The sequence below is a fragment of the Homo sapiens genome, chromosome 2 (assembly GCF_000001405.40).
Source record: "Homo sapiens chromosome 2, GRCh38.p14 Primary Assembly".
NCBI classification, from domain to species: domain Eukaryota; kingdom Metazoa; phylum Chordata; class Mammalia; order Primates; family Hominidae; genus Homo; species Homo sapiens.
This window is the reverse complement of record NC_000002.12, coordinates 36646530-36664585: the sequence shown is the minus strand read 5'-3', so window position 1 is coordinate 36664585 and position 18056 is coordinate 36646530. Positions and strand designations below refer to the sequence as shown.

Genomic DNA, 18056 nt, shown 5'->3' with positions numbered 1-18056 from the left:
TTGAAAGATGAAAGTTGAAACTTTTTTTCAATGTTATAAACATCAATCTGTTTGTACATACCTTTGTTGATACTGTAATAGCTCAGACAATATATAGCTTAGAAATGACTTTCAAATTCCCGACTTTAAAATTCATACAGATTGCATAATCTATAAATATTCATTATCATTCATGATATAATTAATCAGCAAGTATTTATTGAATGTCTACCATATGCCGGGCACTGTACTAGATGGCGGGAATACAACCGTTAACAAAACAAAGTCCTTGCTCTCCAGTAGGGGGAGCTCACATTATAGAGGAGAAACATGGCAAATAAACAAATAAGCACATCCATTTAGAGCACAGCCGGTGCTGACAAGTGCTATGATGAAAAACAAAGCAAGACAAAGAAATAGATATTGTTTGAAGCGACTATTTTAGAGTGGTAAGAAGGTCTTTAAAATGAGGCGAGAGTTGAACTCAGTCAAGAATGCAATGCAGGAGCAAGCCATATAGTTATCTAGGGGCTATCTAGGGAACAGAGGAGGGTCGGGGGAGGCGCAGGGAGCAGGGTAAAGGCTTTCAGTGAGGTGTGTTTAGGATCAGGAAAGGGCCAGCTGACTGGAGTGGAGAGAGGCTAATAAAGCCAGGGAATATAGGACCTTTTAATTCATTATAAGGTCTTTGGATTTTATTTTGCGGGAGACGGGAAGCCTTAGAAAGATTTTGAGCAATGAAGGGTTATGATCGAATTGAGGTTTTAAGGGAGGTGTTGTCATTGCTGTGCAGCAAATACATTAAGGGCAAGAGGAGAATCAGGTGCACTAGGTGGGAGGTTATTATAATTGTGCAGGTGAGAGATGACAGTGCTTGGGCTAGGCAGTGGTGGGAAATGTAACTATTTTCATGTGGTTCAGCACACAAGAAAAAGTTTGTCTTTAATTGTATATATTTTCTAATCCCGGAGGAATCCAGTACCACCTAATTGTTTATCCCAGAATAGGCACTGCTAGCCAAAGCCTCTTACAATGGAAAACACAGGCTAATTAAACTAGGATTTACTATATGGTTTACTTTTATATCTCAAAATCTAGACATAGCCATGTTATAATTGCTAATAAAGGGCCGTGGCTATAAATCAGGATGACTTCATGAGGCAATGTTTGCTTTTAATATTGAAGAATTGACAGAACTCTATTTAGAACTGAGTTATGTACAACACTAATCTTTCAGGGATGGCTTGATTTTCAGTCCTCTATTTCCATCATTGGATTGCTTTGTTGCAATAGGAATGAACACAAGCAAATGTAACTCTATGCCTAACAATGCAAGGCAACAACTGCATACAAACAAAGCTAAGCTCAAAGTGCACGCTCAATTAATTGTTGTGAATGACAACTGAGTGATAAAGTTTAGCATTTAAAAATTAACAAATTCAAGTGCTGAGGACACCATAGAAAATTAGATGTCTATGGGTACCCTCCAAGTTAACTTACTTTTCTAATTTACTTCTAAGGAGTGGCTTAGGTGCAGGGTAAATAAAGTTTATTTTGTCTCCGTTCTTCCATTTCTCTGCCATTTTTTTATTCTCCATTTTAAAAGTTTTATTTAAAAAGTAAACCTTAACGTCGAAAATGCAAACCAGGGGAGGGCAGAAAGATCACACACTAGGCTGTAACTTCACACTAGGTTGCACGCTGGCCGGGCAGAGCTGCTCCTCACTTCCCAGACAGTGGGGCGGCCAGGCAGAGGCGCTCCTCACTTCCCAGATGGGGAGGCGGCCAGGCAGATGTGCTCCTCACTTCCCACATGGTGGAGTGGCCGGGCAAAGGTCTCTGCCATTTTTTAAAGTTCACTTCAATACTAAGTTTGGCATTTTTTTTCCCTCTCCAACATTCCCCAAACTCACTTACTAGTGGAATTTTTTTTTCTTTTTTTTTTTTTTTGGTTATTTGTTTCTCTTAAAAAAACAAAGAGGAGGGTATTTTATCAAGGCAAAATAGGTTCTCTTGCTAAGACTAATCTTTCTTCTTTTACTTTTTTGATAGTTACATAAAAGAAAATGTACAGATTCAAATACACTATGCAGCTTAATGAGGTTTTGTTTATGTATATACTCATGCAACTACTATCCTGATCAAGATATAACATATTTACAGCATTCCAAATAATCCTTTCTGCTGCTTACTAGTCAATACCCCACCAATGGGAATCATACTGAGCTCTATCTCCATAGTTTTGCCTGTTTTTGAACTTTACAAATGGAATCATATAGTATGTATTGTTGGCCCTTTGTATCCATGGGTTACACATCCATGGATTCAGTCAACCATGGGCTAAAAATATTTGAAAAAAAAATTGCATCAGTACTAAACATGTACAGACTTTTTCCCTTGTCATTATTCACTAAAAAAGACAGTCTAATAACTATTTACATAATGTTTATATTGTATTAAGTATTATAAGTAATCTAGAGCTGATTTAAAGTGTACTGAGAGGGTGTGGATATGCAAACACTATGCCATTTCATATGAGGGACTTGAGCATCCTCGGATTTTAGTATCGGGGCAGTCCTGGAACGAATCACCAATCATGCCCAGGTACCAAGGGATCATTGTATTCTTTTGTATCCGGCTTCTTTTACTAAAAAAAAAAATTTTTTTTTTTTGAGACAAGGTCCCACTCTGTCACTCAGACTGGAGTGCAGTGGTGCAATCACGGCTGACTGCAGCCTCGACCACCCAGGCTCAGGTGCTCCTCCCACCTCAGGCTCCCAAGCGTCTGAAACTAGAGGCATGTGTCACCACGCCCAGCTAATTTTTGTGTGTATTTTTTGTAGAGACAAGGTCTCGCCTTGTTGCCCAGGCTAGTCTCAAACTCCTGGGCTTAAGCAATCCACCCACCTTGGCCTCCCAAAGTGCTGGGATTACAGGTGCGTGCCACTGCATCTGGCCTGGCCTACTCAATGTTATGTATATAAAATTCATCAAAGTTGTCACATATAGCAGTTCTTTTTTTTTTCACTGCTGTTTGGTACTCCATTATGTAAATATACTTCAATTTATTTATCTGTTGTAATGTCTCTGGACTTTGGTAGTCTTCAGTTTTGGGCTATTGTGAGTAAAGCTCTGTGAACATTCTTATACATGTCTTTAGGTGGATATAAGTACTGATTTATGTTGAACGTATACCTAAAGGTTGAATTGCTGCATGAGAGGTTCTGTGTATATTGACTAACTTTTGCATAAAACAAAGAATAAGTTAGTGCCAGGAAGATGATAGTGTTAGATGATTGATTTGATTTGATAACATTTAATTAAATTACTTGAAATTGTTTGCTTGGTTATTATTTTGCTCTTTATAAAAGATGGTGAAAAAATATACCTCACTCATTAAGATGGCCACTGTTTTAAAAAACACAGAAAATAACAAGTGTTGGCAAGGATATGGGAAAATTGGAACCCTATGCATTGCTTGTGCAAATATAAAATGGTGCAGCAGCTATGGAAAATAGTATGGAGGTTCCTCAAAAATTCCAAATAGAATTATCACATGATCTAGCAATCCCACTTCTGGGTATATATCCAAAAGAATTGAAAACAGTATCTCAAAGATTGATTTGCATACTCATGTTCATTGCAGTGTTATTAACAATAGCCAGGAGGTGGAAGCCACCTAAATGTCCATCAACAGATGGATGGATAAATGAAATGTGGTCTATACATACAATGGAATATTATTCAGCTTTAAAAAAGGAGCAAATCCTGCCATGTGCTACAACGTGGATGAACCTTGAGGATGTTTTGCTAAGTGACATAAGCCAGTCACAAAAAGACAAACGCTGCATGATTCCATTTATATGAGGAATCTAAAGTAGTCAAACTCTTAGAAAGTAGAATAGTGGTTAGCAGGGGTTAGGGGGAGGGGAAAAAGAAAAGTTACTGTTTAATGGCTATAGAGTTTCAGATATGCAATACGAAAATTTCTGGAGATTCTTTGCACAACAATGTGCACCGTATAATACACTGAAAAATGGTTAAGGTGGTTTAAAAAAGATATTTTAAAAACAACAACAACACCCCATAGCTTTGATTGAAAAATATTCCTGTCATACTTTAGGTAAACAAGCCTTAAAGAAATGAGATGCAGACTGGTGTCTACTCGAGGTACATGTTTCAGAAGCTTTTGTGGAACATCAATGTACTTGCTCATGAAGGCTTTTCTATTCCCTTGTTACCACATGAATGATTTGGGGGAAAATAAGATCCTTGAAGTTGAGTATATTTATATAATTAATTGAAGAAAAGGGTACTGGAAACCATAACCACAGGAGGAATGTACAAGACAGTTATTTTCTAGCTCTTTCTGATTAAATAAAGCTATTTTTGTACTTCTGATCTTTGCATGAAACAAAAAAACCCTGAAGTCATGGTGACTCATAAATAACCTTGATGAAGCATTCAGTCCATGACCTAGCAGGTTGCAGATTGTCAATAGATGTGATTGAGTGCAAAGACCTCTTGACAACAGGAGTGCTGGTGCTAAAGGCCATCTCCTACAGAACAAATGTTACCTCACCAGAGGAACAACTGCCTGAAAATCCTGGTGTGGGCACCAGAACTTGATGAGCAAAGCTGAGGCTTTAGCAAGACATCATACCTTTCCCAAAATGGTCATGAACTTAGTTAAGCTGGAGAGCTCTGTAGACATGTGATTCTGTTGATGAATGGCAGGCTTTCCAGCCAAGAATATTATTGGCTCTTAGTTGTCCTAAATTCAGCTTTCTGACTTGACCTTACTTGAAAATAGAATGGGTCAGTCATATGCTCACAGTCGCCATTTATTGTTATGGAATTTGTGAATTAGTTCTTACCTCTGTTGAGGCATACTTTTGGGTTTGTCCTAGGCAGTCTTTGACCTTGGGCCATATGCTGTCTGCCCTACCCTTGCCATAGGCCCCAGGATCTAATTTCAGAATAAAAGTTGGAAAGCTGCCGCCATTCTGCAACTTCCTAAATAGGCCCAGATAATAATACTGTAATAGCTAAACTAAAAAGTATTATTTTTCTCATTAGTCTCTAGTTTTCAATAAAGCAGATACTCTAAGTTTTCATATTATACATTTTCCATGGGACTAAATACAATTATTTAGATTTACAATTATTTAAAAATAGAATATAAATAATTTTTTCCCTGAATCTAATCTTTTCTTCTTTTTTCCCCTCTCTCCCTCCCTCCCTCCCTTTCTGTCCTCCCCTCCTCCCCATTGCATCTCTATACCAGCTGAGCTAATTTGAAATAGAAGCCATGAATTTGGACTCTGCAGTTAGACAATACCAGCGCAGTTCTCACTAGCTGTGTAACTTTGGGAAACTCTTACTCCCTCAATGTATCTGTTTCTCCTCTTATAAGAGAAAGATGGTAATATTACATCTCTTAGAGTTGCTATGATGATCACGTGAGATGCTTTGTGCCTGGCTATAGTAAACACTCGACAAATGTTAGCTAATCTATATTATTAACATGTTGTCATAATCACATGAGCAACGTCGAGAACATTGACTTGGAGAAAGAAAAAAAAGCTCATACGAGCAACCAAATTGCCACAGATGATGGCTACAGGGGTTTAAAAACTTTGCAAATTAAAGACACAGGAAAAAAAGTGAGAAGTAGGAAAAATATATTTTTAGTCAATGAAAGAAGAATAAAAATGTTGCGTTAAATGAATAAAAATTAGTTCCGGTCATACACCACAACAAGGAAATTTTCCTGTGAGTAGCATTTATATTGGTGAAACTGGTTTAGGAGATGACCTTTCTTTGAATTGTACAGGACGTCAGAAAAAATTTTAAGCTTAAAGATCACCTGATCCAACTCAGTCATTTCACAGGTGAAGAGATAGGTTTCAGGAGATTAAGCAACTTGCCTAAGGTTACACGTCTGGTGGCAGAGCTCAATCAGAACAGTAGATCTCCTGATTGGAGCCCAGGGGGTCATTCTACAGGAGCACACAGCTTTTGAAATGTGACAAGATCAAAAAGCCCAGAGAACTTTCATGCAGGAATGAGAACAATTTTGCATTCACATCAGAGGTCATTTTTCATACCTGGAATTCAAAGCATCTGAAAACAGATATCATTATTCCTGTTGAACAAATGGAAAAATCTGGAAAAAGATAAGCTCTAAGCTGACTGGCTTTGTTGTCCAACTTCAGGCTCCATAAATACACTCATCATGCCCATGCAAGCTGGTATGTCAACCTGCTGCAGGTGCCTGCTCTGATTCTGGCACACTTCATAGGTTGCTTTCCATTGCCTACTTCTGTATTTCTTGGTCATTGTCAGTTCCTTGTCAAATATAGATCTTACAAAGGACAAGTATTCTTTTTTATTTCATTGTATATGCTGGGCACCATTCAAGAAGTTCAGGATTCACTTCATTCAAGATGTGAACTTCTTGAACAGTGCCCAGCATATACATGACTATCAGTGAGTATTTCTTGAATGAATGAACAAAAAATTAGCACTCTGCATTTCTTTATCTATCCCTTCAGATTGGCAGATGAATTTGAGGTCATGTGTCTAGGCTCTGGTTTTGAGGCCATGTGTCTAGGCTCTGGTTTTGAGACCTCTACTATATGATGGCCAGTTGTATGCTCTGTGACTCTGGGCAAAACTAACCTGACCTTGAACCACACCCTGAATTCCAGAGCACAATCTGCTGAGCACAGGACTGACAGGAAGGGGAATAAGACAGGGTATATCCCAGAGAATTGGACGCAGAGGTATAAAATGGAATTCTTCATACCCTGCACATTGTGAGGACCCTGTTGAGCTTCACTAGTGAAGTCAATGAAGTAGCCTCTCTGGGAGAAGGAATAGAACCAAACACCCATATGCATAAATGCAGCGAATCCAAATAGGGCCTCCCTCCAGTGGGCCCATTAAACCAGCATTACCAAGGCTAACTCATCCTTCAGACAGGGTGTATGGGGCTTCTTTTAGCCTCAAGTCGCACTTGATGTTCATTTGATGCATACTTTACCAGTATACAGATAGTCTCTAATTTATAATGGTTCAACTTTACAATGGTATGAAAGTGATACACATTCAATAATCATATTTCATACCACCATTCTGCTTTTTCCTTTCAGCATGCTATTTAATAAGTGACATAAGAAACACAACATTTTATTATAAAATAGGCTTTGTGTTAGATGATTTTGCCCAGCCATAAGCTAAAGTAAGTTTTCTGAGCATGTTAGAGGTGAGCTAGGCTAAGCTATGATGTCCAGTAGGTTAGGTATATTAAAGGCATTTTTGACTTACAATATTTTCCGCTTATGGGTTTACTAAGACATAACTCCACCGTAAGTCAAGGAGCATCTGTATACAGACTGCTTACTTGCTCTTGTCACAAAGAGTGGAATAGCAAAATAGCTTTAGGCTTTTGCTTTGTTTCCTTTAGCAAAACAGCTTCAGTTTCCCTCGTGAAGCAGTTCCCTAGTCCATACCCTATGTGAGTGATCAAAAAAATTCTCCGCAAAGGGTGTCTTCTGCAAAACTGCAGACCTTCTGACTCCCAAGTGTCGTCCACAGCATTTTATAGACAACATGACCCTGAGGGTTCACACCCACTCAACTCATACGGTCATCCTCCCAGATGGCACATTTGGGTCATGAGACCCACCACTTCTGAGATTTCACACTACTTTGGCAGTCAAGCCAAAGACATGCTAAATGTGATCTTCTCCTCTAATGTATGCTACAGGGAGATCATCAAGTTATAGTGTGTCCTGGGTGTTGGCAAATACACTGCTCATGAGGAAAGCTCCTCAGAATGGGTATTGTGTTTTCATTTTTCACCCAGCAAGAGCAACTTCATCATTATTAACTACAGCTGAAATTGGCTTATCAAGACCTAGAAGCTGACCATCTACTAACTGAGAAAACCTCATTGATCACACAGCTGACTGATGGTAACATACAGCTTCTGGAGATAAGGATAGACAGGACATTCAATGGTCTTCAGCATGGACAAGTACTTTCATGCCGTGGGGATGTTTTCAATGCTTCTTTTGAATGCCTCTGCTCTAACCCTAGTTGCTCCTATCTTTATGGATCATGTGGTCAATAGTGAGATATGGAATTTTAAAGGAAAGATTATGATAGGTAAGTTGAAAGGAGAAAACAAACAGCATCTGCGACACAAGCTAGTTGTGAACATACCTGACCAGGTTTTCTGTTGGCCAGACTCTGCTTGTGGCTACACAGGAAACCTGCAACACCTGATGGGCAGACCCATCAAACCCCTTCTTGTCAAACCCTTGAAAATAAAGGCCTTAATTTATGATGCATAGAAAATATCATTATCAGGGTGGAAGAAGCCTTCTCCTGTAAGCAATCCTGGGCCCTATACACCCTTACAGACATTTGGAATTGACAGGGATGGTTACTATAGCACCTATTGATTGAAGAAAACTATCTTGTGGCTTTAGAGTGTTGGAACAATATTTGTAAGGGACACCGTCATTATCAGGAAGGGAAGTAGATGGAGCTTTTGTGGCTTTGGTGGGGTTTCATCCAGCTCTATACCTGTTTCCCTGGTGAACCATTCTGCCTTACATTTGTTCCTGCACTTGCTGGGAAGGCAAAGTGTGTGGGTTATCGATGGGTCTTTAATAGACAAAGAAGACCAACATGATGCTTCCTTCTTCTGCCTGGCTCCCACTAAAGTGCCAAAAATTTAGATAATTCCCCAAGTCACCAGGCTATAGGCTTCTGACAGGAAGTCTCAAGAAATGTTTTGCAAATAGCTTTCCTCAGAGGAAACGTCAGCTGAGTCAGGAGCATTGTTCCACTAGTGGACCAGAGGGTTGACGGACTTAATTAGGGTGAATAGTTGAAGCGGGACCAAGATGGTTTTTTCCTTGGGGACCAATGTACTCTGTTAAAAGACAAAAAAAGAAATGCTTATGCAATGACTTTCTTCCTAAAAATTCAGAACACTTCAAAAATTCCCATTAATTGTATTCTCACCACAACTCTGAAGGTTAGTTCACTTATGACGCCAATGTCTTTAGGGCAGTTACATGTACATGCATAACTTCTCTTACAGCAACACATAGTCATTAGAAACACTGAAAAGTTATTGAGTACCATCACAAAATATTTTCTTTTCTTTTTCTTTCTTTCTTTCTTTTTTTTTTTTTTTTTTTTGAGATGGAGTCTCGCTCTGTCACTGGCTGGAGTGGAGTGCATTGGTGAGATCTTGGCTCACTGCAACCTCTGCCTCCTGGGTTCAAGCGATTCTCCTGCCTCAGTCTCCCGAGTAGCTGGGACTACAGGCGCCCACCACCATGGCTGGCTAATTTTTTTTTGTATTTTTAGTAGAGACGGGGTTTCACCATGTTGGCCAGGCTGGACTCGAACTCCTGACCTCAGATGATCCACCCACCTTGGCGTCCCAAAGTGCTGGGATTACAGGCATGAGTCACCATGCGCGGCCACCAGATATTTTCAAGGGCTGCAAACTGTGCTTGGAGAGGAGACTATTTAGAGATACTTTATGGACGTAAAAAATGAACAGCCAACTGTGTCCTCCTACAACTTACATTTTTTTCAATTTCAGCCTTTGAGCACTGGATCTTTCCACTTGCTTTGTCTTGTGTGGAGAGATTTGATTTTAAAATCTTTTATTATATGAGTTTGCATCTTTCCATCACTTCTATTTTATGAAAGTAGACGCTATGTTATTTCATACATAGATATTTATAACTGCCATATATTCATTGTGAATTGGAGTCTTAAACATTATGAAGAAGCATTACCCAATAGAGCTTTCTGGGATAATGGAAGTTTTCTCTGCACCACTTAATTTAATTAAATAAAATTTAAAATGTAGTTTATCACATTAACCATGTTTGTAATGTTCAGGAGTCACAGGTGACTAGTGACTACTGAATTGAAAAGTACACTTATACAGTATCCTCTTTGTTTTGCTTAATGCTTTTTGGCTTGAATTCTACTTTGTCTGACATCAAAGCCTTGATCCTTGCTTTATTTTTGCTTACTTTTGACTGGCACAACTTTGCCTAACCTTTTATTTCTAACCTTTCTGGATCACTCAGTTTTAGGCAAGTCTTTTGTATAAAGCAAAATGTTGAAATCTGTTTTAATCTTCAGTTAGTTTAAGCCTATCTACATTTATTGATATATACTCTGTTTAATCTCATTTCTTTCATTATTAATACATACTATAAATACTGGTAATTTTCTCTCTCCTTAGAAAATGTCCAGTGGTTTTATACTATGAGCAAAACAAAATTGACTTGTGTCTTCTTTCTTCTCTCATCTCTCCCTGACTTTCCAACTTTAGTCAATAATATTATCTTTCATGGTGTTTATCTTTGTACTCTTACACTTCTACAATTCAGTTTGTCAGCATTAAATGATATCCTCTGACTCTGTCCTTCTGCTTATGATGCAACTTATGTTCTTATTCTGCTTACTCCATTCTCTTGCCTCTTTTTCCTCCAGCGTTTTATTATGAAGATTTCCAAACCTACAGCAAAGTTGAAAGAATTTACAGTGAACGCCTATATACCCACCACCTAGACAGTATCATTAACATGTTACTGTCCAGCACTTACTTTAGGTATAGTTATCCATATATCCAATCTTCTATCCATATGTTAATCTATCTCATTTTTTGTGTATTTCAAAGTAAATTTCTAACATTAGTACACTTTTACCCTCAAAGTTCAGGATGCATATCATTAACTAGAGTTTATTATTTGTTTAAAGTATTTTAATATAAAATTTACATACTGTAAAGTACCCAAACCTTACGTATACCTTTGCCAGTTTTGAAGAATGGATATGCCTGTGTAACCCAAACGTCTAACAAGATACAGCATTACCAGAAAGTACCCTCATGGCCCTTGCTGTTTAATTCCCATTTCCCCAGAGGTAAGCTTCTGATTTTTTCTACCATAAATTTTTACCTGCTTTAGAAATTCATAGAAATCAAGTCAAACATTGTATCATCTTTTTTGTGTAAGGCTGCTTTTACTCAGCAAAACTTAAATTTTTTTTTTTTTTTTTTAGAGACAGGCCCTTGCTGTGTTGTTCAGGCTGGAATGCAATGGTGTGACCATTGCTCACTGCAGCCTTGAACTCCCGGGCTCAAGTGATCCTCCTACTTCAGCTTGCCAAGGAGCTAAGCAGGTGCACAGCAACGTGCCTGGCTACTTTTTTTTTCAAAATTTTTTGTAGGGATGGGATCTTGCTATGTTGTCCGAGTTGGTGTTGAACTCCTGGCCTCAAGCAATCTTCGTGCCTCAGCCTTCCAAAGCATGGGGATTACAGACCAGTGCCCAGCCTACCATAATGTTGAGATTCATCTATGTAGTTGCTTGCGTCAGTAATTTAGTCCTATTTATTAAAGATAAAAATGTATGGCAGTTAGACTATTTCCAACTTGGGGCTATTATGAATAAAGCTTCTATGAACATTCTTATACAAGTAGTTTTGTGAACTATTTTTTTATTTTTATTTGGTCAATACCTAGCAATAGTATTGCTGGGTCATAGCAGATATGCTTAGCTTATAAGAAATTTTGAGACCATTTCCCAAACTGGTTGTTCCGTCTCACATCCACACCAACAATGTATAAGAGTGCTGGTTTTCCCATATCCTTGCCGATATTTGGTGCTGTCAATCTTTTTAAATTTTAGTCATTCTGGTAGATGTTTAGTAGTACCTTATTGTGATTTAAATTTTTATTTCCCTAATGATTAATGATGTTGAACACTTTTCATTTGCTTGTTGGTTATTTATATATCTTATTTTATGAAGTATGTATTAGATTTTTTTCCCATTTTAAATTAGGTTGTTAATTTTATTATTGAGTTTTTAGTTTATTTGTTGATTTGTTCAATACGCTAGATACCAGCAATTTGCCAGATATATACTTTGCAAATATTTTCTTCTAGTCTGTGGTTTGCTTATTCATTTTTATAACAGTATCTTTTGATAGGCAGACATTTTAAGTTTGCTGTTTAATTAATCATTTAAAATTGTTTTTATTATTGCTTCCAGTGACCTAAGGAGCTTTTGCCAACCCCCCAAGTCACTAAGACATATTATTATGTTCCCTTCTAACTGCTTTATTGCTTTAACTTTCACATTTTGGTCTGTGATCCATTTTCTCCCCTTTTTCTCCCATATTTTGTTACATGTGTTAGTTCTACAACAGCAGAGCATAAAATAGCACTTGCATAACATTTTCCCACCCTTATCTCCAAATTCATTTTAGTCCTACATCTAAATATGTTTGTGCTCACCACTGGTTTCTTGCTAGTACTTCCCCAGTCATCTTTTGGTTGGGTGAAGCTGGTTCTCTAGTAGGCACCTCTGGAAGGGTGTGTTGGTACAAGATTCTCTAATGTCTTGCAGATTCAACACTGTTTTTCTTAGCTTCAATACTAGAGGGAAAGTGGGATTGATAAAACATCCTTTTACACACTTTTTTTTGCTTTGATGAATGTATTATTTGTTATCTTCCATTGTTTATTGTTTAAGTATTCATTATCTTCCATTGTGCATTATTTTTCCAACGACATTTCAATTATAGAGACACTGGAAGAGTAATCTACTTATTTCACACTATTTTCTGAAAATAAACGTATAACCATTTCACCTTAACATTATCTTCAGGTTCATGCAAAGGGCTGCCTTATGGATTTCCTTGGTATTAGGGTTAGAAAAGAATTCTCAGTAAAACTGGGTTTCTGTGAGCTTTGAATTTGTGTGCACCAGTGAAAGCACATCCTGAATGTAAGGTACTATATAAATATATGCAATAATAATAATACCACTATTCACTATCTTTATAATGAGAAGATTATATCTAAGAAGGCAGAAGGAGTTTTCCCTAAAACAAGGCTAACATTCTAGGTCTAGAAATACCAGGAATAATGTATCCAGTTGATATGCCAAAGTTTAGATAACTTAAAGTTTATCATAACAACTTGGGACCCAGATGTGAATTGAGTTCCAATTAATGACTTAGGAAATCTTTGAGTTATCCTGCTCCTCTTAAATGGATTTGTAGTATGTAGCCTGCCATTGTATGAATGTGCCTTTACTGAGTTAAGAATTGTCTGCTGATGGATGGATAGTCAAGTTTGTTCCCAGTTTTTTTTTTTTTTTTTTTTTCTGACGCAAGGTTTCATTCTATTGCCCAGGCTGAAGAGCAGTGGCATGATCACTGCTGCTCACTGCAGCCTTAACTTTCTGGGCTCAGGCGATTCTCAAATCTCAGCCTCCTGAGTTGCTGGGACTACATGCGTGCATCACCACACTTGCCTTTTTTTTTTTTTTTTTGTATTTTTAGTAGAGATGGGATTTTGCAGTGTTACCCAGGCTGGTCTCAAATTCCTGTTGTCAAGCGATCTGCCTGCCTCAGCCTCCCAAAGTGCTGGGATAATAGGGTGAGCCACCGCACCCAGCCTCTTCCCAGTTTTTTGATGCTATAAACTACAGGATAATAACACTCGTATACATACATTTATCTAGTATGAGAACTTATTCTATGTATTTTTAGAAGTAAAATTTTGAGAGGAAAAGAAATGATCATTTTAAATTTTGATACATAATACTAAATTATACTTATGGGTTGTTATAAACCTCAGGACTTATCTTGGCTTGGAAGATGACCAATAACCGAAGGTATTAAGGTCACATTAAAGTTAATATGTATTATTAAGTCACTATCTTTGTTATGAAAAAGTTAATAGAACTGATGAGAGAATTCAAGGTATTGAATGACTGTTGTACAATATGCAGAGGTCATGAAATGGAATGGATACCCCTCACTTTTTTTATAAGATGGAGATAAATTCCTTGTAGGACTATTTAGATGATTTAAGAGATAATAGTTGTAAAACTCCTCGACCAGTACCTGGCACATAGTAGGTGCTCTGTAAACAATTACCATTTTACTATATTTTTATAAAGAGAAGTCATTATCGTAATAGAGCCCTCTTTTAGCTTTCATGATCACATTTTATCTAACTCCTGTCAGCTTCTGCTTTCATCAAGTATGAGACCACTGGTAATTAGACTTTAACATTTAAAAATACTAGTATTATTTAGTGTGAGTAAGAGAAAGTTGTGGAGTCTTTAAAAATGAGTGATCAGATTTTATGCTCCAAGGAATGGACAGCTAGGGGTTACTAGTCAAGGCAAGAAGTTGGGGCCAGGAGTGTCTGCCATAGGCCAAGGGTCGGTGCCTGAAGGGTGAGAGTTACCAGCACAAGCTCAGTTGTCAGGAAGTGAAAGCAGGCCAAGAGTCAACAAGCAAGATGACTCACAGGTAACAGGACACCCAAGTGTCAGGAGTCATAAGAAGCCAGGAGCCTGGCTCCACAACCCCAGAAAGGCTCCACTCCAGAGGAGGTTCAGGCCAAGGCACTGTCTGAAGTTCTGAAGCTCAAGGTAGCCAGCCAGGGGCCCAGGGGGACTGAAGCACATCTCCATGCAGAGTAGACTTGGCTGATCGCTGTTTCTGGGCATTTACAGGTTTGTGTGGGTCAGAAGCCAACTACAGAAGAGCTTGTCTGTGTCCCCCAGGTACAAGTAGGTGAATGGGGGAGCAGAAAGTTAGGTCAAATTTGGAAGAAAGAAACAATAAACTTTCTGTGATAGTTGCAGCACACGGTGATGAAATCCTCCTACGGAAAAGTGTTAGAAAAGCTATATACATTTGCATTATCAAGCCTCACATCTGCTGTCATGTCTTGGGAAGTGGAATGTTGCTGTATTCGTTCCCTTGGTTTTCTAAAAGAATGATCTAAATTTCTGACAGATTTGCTAAGATTTAAACAATTGTGGCACTAAATCTCCACTGTATGTTCTGTCTATGTCTTATTATCACTTATGTTTCTTCCTGGACAACACTGGGGGTGATGGTAGAGGAAGACATCGCTATGTGCTGCTATGAGGAAGATGGGGACAGGAACATGAGAACTATGGTAGGAGTGTTGCTCTTATACTTGGAACCATGAGATATCTATGGAAGTATGAATAACTGTCTTAGCCAGGCACAGTGGCTCACGCCTGTAATCCCCAGAACTTTGGGAGGCTGAGGCAGGCAGATCACCTGAGGTTGAGAGTTTGAGACCAGACTAGCCAACATGGCAAAACACTCTCTCTACTAAAAAATACAAAAAAATTAGCTGGGCGTGGTGGCAGGTGCCTGTAATCCCAGCTACTTGGGAGGCTGAGACACGAGAATCACTTGAATCTGGCAAGCGGAGGCTGCAGTGAGCCAAGATCCCACCACTGCACTCCAGCCTGGGCAACAGAGTAAGACTCTGTCAAGAAAAACAACAACAACAACAACAACAAAAAACAAGAAAAAAAACAGGCAAAATCCAAAAAACTGTCTTAGGCCCTACTAGGGTTTGAATATGGTTTGTTTGGTCCCACCAAGTCTCATGTTGAAATTTGATTCCCACTGTTGGAGGTGGGGCCTGGTAGGAGGTGTCTGGGTCCTTAGGAATGGCTTGGTGCCATTCTTACGAGAAGGAGTGAGTTCTTACTCTTAGTTCCTGCATGACCTGGTTGTTGAAAAGAGCCTGGCACCTCCCTCGCCTCTCTCTCTTGCTCTCTTCCCATGTGATCTCTGCACATGCCAGCTTTCCTTCTTCTTTCACCATAAGTGGAAGCAGCCTGAAGCCCTCACTTGAAGTGGATGCTGGAGCCATGCTTCTTGTATAGTCTGCAGAACAGTGAGCCAAATAAACCTCTTATTTATAAATTACCCAGCCTCAGGTATTCCTTTAAAGCTTAGGGTCATTAGGCTTAGGGCCTAATGGATGAAGACAGGCCCATTCCCTGGAAAACAATGCCTGAGGCTATACTTTAAAATACTTTATTGGGAATGTCATCCCGTGAAGCAGGAGGGAGGCAAAGGAGAAAGGACAGCATATATTTAAAAATGTGGGTTATTAAGCTGACCGTGGCTTGGTGAACAAGTGTAGTTGATTGCCTGGTCTCACAGGATGTCTTCAGAGAGATAGTATGAAACTATTACAGCTCCCTCCTGGGGGTGTAAGGCAAAAGAATTAGCCTCTGGCTTCTATTTCCAATTGATTAAAGTTAGCTTCACAGGGCATTACGCCCCCACACTTCCAGGTTGCACCACCTGGTCTCACCATCAGCTGTTGGGGAGGCTAAATCCATGACAGCAACTGCGGCATCTGCAGCATAAGCCGCCATCCTCAGGGCAAGCCAGAGAATAGGCCTGAGACAGTGGCCTTCCCACATCCCTGCCTGCAACTTGCAGCCTCAAAGGCCCTGTTAGATGGATACCCAATGGGTTCTGCAGCACCGTTTAGCTGAAAACCCCAGCTTCTCATGTCCCAGTATCTCATGCCCCAGCAGCAAAAGGGAAGTCCAGGTCAGATGCCGGTTAGTTATGCTCACAGGTGTCATGAGGGACCACAGCATTGCCTGATGCCACAGCCATAGGAACACGTAAGCCACTGTGCTGTTCAGCCAGAATGCAAAGCCCAGTACAATGATATTTACATGTTCCTGATTATACAATAATAACTAACACCATTGAGCACTTACTGCACAAAGCACTTTGCATATAATCTTATGTATTGATCTCATTTAATATACAGTCATATGTTGCTTAATGATGCAGATATGTTCTGAAAAATGCATCATAAGGCAATTTCATTGAGTATACTTACCCAAACCTAGATGGTATGGCCTACTACACACCTAGGCCACATAGTATAGCTTATTACTCCTGAGCTAAAAACTTGTACAGCATGTTACTGTATTGAATACTCCAGGCAATTATAACACAATGGTAAATACTTGTATATCTAAACATATCTAAACATAGAAAAGGCATAGTGAAAATACAGTATAAAAGATTAAAAAATGGCACACCTGTATAGGGCACTTACCATGAATGGAGCTTGCAGGACTGGAAGTTGCTCTGGGTGAGTCCAGGAGTGAGTGGTGAGTGCGTGTGAGGGCATAGGACATTACTATACACTACTATAGATTTTATAAACACTATACACTTTGGCTATCCTAAATTTACAAAAAAAAAAGCACTTTTTCCTTAACAATAAATTTACTTTATAAACTTTTAATTCTTTTATTTTTATTTTTTTTTACCTTTTGGCTCTTTTGTAATAACACTTTGCTTAAAACACAATATGTTGTATGACTGTGCAAAAATAGTTTCTTTACTTATTCTATAAGCTTTTTCTACTTAAAAATTTTTACTTTCTTTTACTTTAAAAACTTTTTTTGCTAAAAACTAAGACACAAACACACACATTAGCCTAGGCCTACACAGGATCAAGGTCATCAGTATCATTTTCTTCCACCTCCACATCTTTTCCTACTGGAAAGTCTTCAAGGGCAATAGCACCCATGGAGTTTTCATCTCCTATGATATCAATGCCTTTTGCTGGAATATTTCTTGAAGGACCACCATAAGCTCATTACTCTATGACATTATGCTAGTTACCATGTCACTAGGCAATAGGAGTTTTCCAGCTCCATTATACTCTTATGGGACCACTGTCATATATTCCATTCCTTGTTGACTGAAATGTTATGTGGCGCATGACTGTATATTGTTTTATATTCTATGTTTTCATGTAGTTTTTTATGGTGAAGGGTTCTTTATCTAATTTAATATTTTTCAAAAGCATTTCTCACTGCCAAGGACATATTCCGTACTGTGGATGCATAATAATTTCTTTCACTTTCTCATATTTTTGTACACATGGGTTGTTGGTAGTTGTTTGCTCTCATAAATTATTCAGTGTGTGTAAGTCGGATTTGTCTAATCTATGTTATTAAAACAAACAACCCTCAAATCTCCATGCTTTAAAATAACAGATTTATTTTTCACTCACATATTGAATTAGCAAGAAACATTTGCACATCACAGTCACATTGGGACCGAGACCAACAGAACAGTCGCCATCTCAAATGTTGTTAGACACTGTTCCAGAGGTAAAAGATAGCTC

The 18056-nt window shown here is 38.6% G+C and overlaps 1 pseudogene, besides 2 other annotated features; it reads left to right on the top strand.

The window, feature by feature from the left end:
- Window positions 4306-4600: an enhancer, noted in NCBI's record as "tiled region #2322; HepG2 Activating DNase matched - State 5:Enh". NCBI's record gives its function as "activates a minimal TATA promoter and a strong SV40 promoter by Sharpr-MPRA in HepG2 cells {active_cell/tissue: HepG2}" and the evidence as "EXISTENCE:reporter gene assay evidence [ECO:0000049][PMID:27701403]".
- Window positions 7645-8264, top strand: RACK1P2 (RACK1 pseudogene 2; annotated as a pseudogene).
- Window positions 14212-14411: an enhancer, noted in NCBI's record as "active region_15576". NCBI's record gives its function as "activates an Ori minimal core promoter by ATAC-STARR-seq in GM12878 lymphoblastoid cells {active_cell/tissue: GM12878}" and the evidence as "EXISTENCE:reporter gene assay evidence [ECO:0000049][PMID:35858748]".